This window comes from Homo sapiens, chromosome 20, assembly GCF_000001405.40.
Source record: "Homo sapiens chromosome 20, GRCh38.p14 Primary Assembly".
Classification (NCBI taxonomy): domain Eukaryota; kingdom Metazoa; phylum Chordata; class Mammalia; order Primates; family Hominidae; genus Homo; species Homo sapiens.
The window spans coordinates 7662972-7667431 of NC_000020.11; the positions used below are offsets into that span (position 1 = coordinate 7662972).

General features: G+C 40.6%; 1 annotated feature.

Annotated features, from left to right (window-relative positions):
- Positions 2427–2928: an enhancer, noted in NCBI's record as "NANOG hESC enhancer chr20:7646045-7646546 (GRCh37/hg19 assembly coordinates)". NCBI's record gives its function as "activates a minimal SCP1, AML or CMV promoter by ChIP-STARR-seq in naive H9 embryonic stem cells {active_cell/tissue: H9 hESC(naive)}" and the evidence as "EXISTENCE:reporter gene assay evidence [ECO:0000049][PMID:30033119]".

Here is a 4460-nt window from a genome sequence, read left to right on the forward strand (position 1 = left end):
CCCAAATGTCCAACAGCGATAGACTGGATTAAGAAAATGTGGCACATATACACCATGGAATACTATGCAGCCATAAAAAATGATGAGTTCATGTCCTTTGTAGAGACATGGATGAAATTGGAAATCATCATTCTCAGTAAACTATCGCAAGGACAAAAAACCAAACACCGCATCTTCTCACTCATAGATGGGAATTGAACAATGAGAACACATGGACACAGGAAGGGGAACATCACACTCTGGGGACTGTTGTGGGGTGGGGGGAGATGGGAGGGATAGCATTAGGAGATATACCTAATGCTAAATGACGAGTTAATGGGTGCAGCACACCAGCATGGCACATGTATACATATGTAACTAACCTGCACATTGTGCACATGTACCCTAAAACTAAAAGTATAATAATAATAAAAATAAATAAATAAATAAATAAATAAATAAATAAAATTAGGATTGAATGAGCTTATCAAATGAGTTATGGCAGAGCTAGGAATCCTCAGAATCTACTGCTCTCCATTGCTTTTCATGGGGCTCCATTAACATTGCTGAGCCTCCTGAGCACAGTCCTGGGGTTGGATCATTGCAAGTTCTGGGATCTGTATTTGGGGGGTTCCTCTAGTGCTCAATCCTTTCATATGCTTATTGATGACCTCTTCTAAATTGAGATATCTCTTTGCTCTGGAAAGCTTAGATTGTCCTTACCCAGTGAGTCATTAGTAGTCTGTGTGGCCATATCCTTTTGAATCTCAAGCGTATTACTATTATCTTCAAGATGAACACAAATAATTACAATTTACTTTTGCTAAACTGCACTCTAAATTATCATATTAAGTCCATTGGAATTTTAGTGCACCTTTAGAAAAAAAAATTCTGAGATCTAAGATACCAAAGGTTTTGGGAAGATTATTTTTTAACTCCTGTTTTTTGAAATGTACAATTAATTTTAAATACTACTTATAAAAATATTAGCTTTGTTAAAAAGAACTCTTATTTCTCTACAGAAAGATAACTAACTGAAGTTTTACTAAGAAATATAAAACTCAGCCCATCATGTGTTAAATTTGTTGCAACTATTAGCCTGCCTACTCAACTCTTAATCAATCGGGGTTTTGTGGGTGGGACACGAAGACCATAAAGGGTTTTTAATACAGCCATGGGTATATGATTTCAATCTGGCTGCCTGAGAGTCAAATAAAGCAATAAACTCACAGAAAATTACACACATGTACATACATGCACAGAATCAGATTTCTTGTTTCTTTTTTTTTTTAATTAACTTATTTTTTTTTAGACGGAGTCTTGCTGTGTTGCCCAGGCTGGAGTGCAAGTGGCCTGATCTCGGCTCACTGCAAGCCCTGCCTCCCGGGTTCACGCCATTCTCCTGCTTCAGCCTCCCGAGTAGCTGGGACTACAGGCGCCCGCTACCACGCCCGACTAATTTTTTGTATTCTTTTTTTTTTACTAGAGATGGGGTTTCACCATGTTAGCCAGGATGGTCTCGATCTCCTGACCTCGTGATCCGCCTGCCTCGGCCTCCCAAAGTGCTGGGATTACAGGCGTGAGCCACCGCACCAGGCCCTTATTGTTTCTTCTTTAAAAGATCTGCCAACACTGGGTTCATAGTTCCACAAAGCAACCAATTTGTAGCTGACCTATTTCGGTGATGGCTGGGCTTTTGAGTATGCCACAGGCTATACCAATCCCAACTGTCTTAAAACCACTGGTTTGTCTAACCTGTATAACCCATATAGGCACTTGAATATGAGACCCTATCACTGTTAATTTGTATAAAATCTTTGTAATTTGAACATGAAACTAATCATTGACACTAGATGTTCATGCCTAGACAGTATAACTAACCTTCCTTCGTACTCAAAATACTCCACTTTTTCTGCTTTGTACTTAACTTGAAAGACAGCACAGTAGATGTATAAAAGGAATGAACAGCAAAAGGGTCAGTTGCATTTGAAGCAATCCACGATTGTTTATGCTGGCATCATTTTGCCCTGAAGATTTTTTTCTATGACTTTCTGGAAGCATTCTAACATAAAGCATTTTTCTGGTTTTCAGATTCAAACACATTCTAGTCTAACCACCTGTGTATGCAATCGATTTGGTTTTAACTTTGAGCTTCATCCCTGAACCAGACCTGGCATCTGCAGAAAAAAAAAAATACCAGAGGCTAAAATAGAGCAAGCAGGGCCACAAAATAGTGTGATGTTCTCCCACTGTGATTCGTAGGGGATGCGTTTCGGGGTGCGCATTTCATCTCACGAGACTCCAGACAACAGAGGAGCTAGACAAAAGGAAAATATGTGATGGAGCTGTATTTATATTGCAATCTTTCCAACATTTCAGGAGGGAATGGTTTACAGATGTATACCCTCCAATGACATTGACACATCTATTGTTTTCTTAACCTCCTTCCCCATCTTACTACAAGATTCTTTTCACGAAAAAGATTACAAACTGCCCCCATGCTTTTCTATGATAAGGAACACATGCCTTCCTGATTACAAGGGAAGACCTGATGAGCTATATGATAGGCCAAGTGTTAATGTAAAATTAGCCTCAGAAAATGGAATACTTTTATGATTACTTAAGCATTTGTATTTTCATGCCATAAATGCTTCCCCGTCTGAAACAGACCACTTAACCCAGTCTTAGAACATCAGGCTGCTAATTTACACAGTATTCTGACAGGAAGCCATCTACAGCAATGAATGCACAGTAGGGGATTTTAACAGAAGCCCATCTGGACTTTCAGCTATTGCAGGCAATTTCTTCTGAATAATCCATTAAAGAGAAATGCCATAAAGATGAGTTAGCAACTCTTGATTGTAAATTTCAAGAGAGGTTTTATAAAGAGCCTCTTACTTTTTCAACTTTTTAAGATCTATTTTTAGCGACTCAATTCATCACCATTTAACTTGGTGTCTTTCTGCCTTGTTACGACTCTTGAAGAGTTTACAGTGCTGTCAGGGTCACAGTCGTTGTCTTCAGGAAAGGATACCTGTCTCAGACACGTGCTTTCTATTAATTTAGCCCTCCGGATTGTGTTAGGATGAAATATGTCTTCTTCAGAGTGTTTTTGTTTGTTTGTTTGTTTGTTTTTCCATTTCAAGATTTTTTTTTCTCAAAATAATTCTCCTCTGGTCAGCCAATATTCAAAACTTAAAAATGATAGACCAATTATTTGGTAAACCTGAAATTTGCGGTGCTGACAGGAATTATTTTAAATAACAATATAAGCACCCGCGAATAACTCTTTCTTCCTCTGGCATGTCTTTCCCTCAGCTCCCTCAAGTCTGCTCAAATCATGTCTTCTCAAAGAGGCCTTCTTTGATGTATTGTTTTATATTGTAATCTTGCCCCATCCCTGGTTCTAATGATTCCCCTGCCCCACTTCAAGTCATTCTGATATACTATGTATTTAATTATTTGTTGCATTTGTTTATTTATTTATTTTTGATACAGAGTCTTACTCTGTTGCCCAGGCCATAGTGCAGTGGCGCCATCTTGGCTCACTGCAACCTCCGCCTCCCGGGCTCAAGCAATTCTCATACCGCAGCCTCTGGAGTAGTTGGGACTACAGGAGCGTGCCACCATGCCCGGCTAATTTTTGTACTTTTTTTTTTTTTGACGAAGTCTTGCTCTGTCACCCAATCTGGAGTTCAGTGGCGCGATCTCTGCTCATTGCAACCTCGGCCTCCAGAGTTAAGCCATTCTCCTGCCTCAGCCTCCTGACTAAGACTGGGACTACAGGCTTGTGCCACCACGCCCAGCTAATTTTTTGTTTTTGTTTCTGTTTTTATTTTGAGACGGAATCTCGCTGTGTCCGCCAGGCTGGAGTATCTGCTCACTGCAAGCTCCACCTCCTCTGTTCACACCATTCTCCTGCCTCAGCCTCCCCAGTAGCTGGGATTACAGGGGTCTGCCACCACGCCCGGCTAATGTTTTGTATTATTAGCAGAGATGGGGTTTCACCATGTTGGCCAGGCTGGTTCAAACTCCTGACCTCAGGTGATCCACCCGCTTCAGCCTCCCAAAGTGCCAGAATTACAGGCGTAAGCCACCACACCCGGCCAAGTTTTGTACTTTTAGGAGAGATGAGGTTTTACCCATGTTGGTCAGGCTGGTCTCAAACTCCTGACCTCAAGTGATCCGCCAATCTTGGCCTCCCAAAGTGCTGGGATTACAGGGATGAGCCACCCTGCCTGGCCTATTTGTTGCATTTTTTATCTTTCTCCACCTGTTACAATGTGAGCTTCATGAGAACAAGGTTTGCACTAGTTCACCTGCTTCTGTGTCCCTAGAACTTAGAATGGAGCATAGCACAAAGTATGTGTTATTAAAAATATTTGTTGAATAAATGGATAGATAAGAGTAGATGATTCATTCGGCAAATACAGAAAAGAAAACAAAGCTGTGATGACAGATCTGGAACGAAGAACAGCACA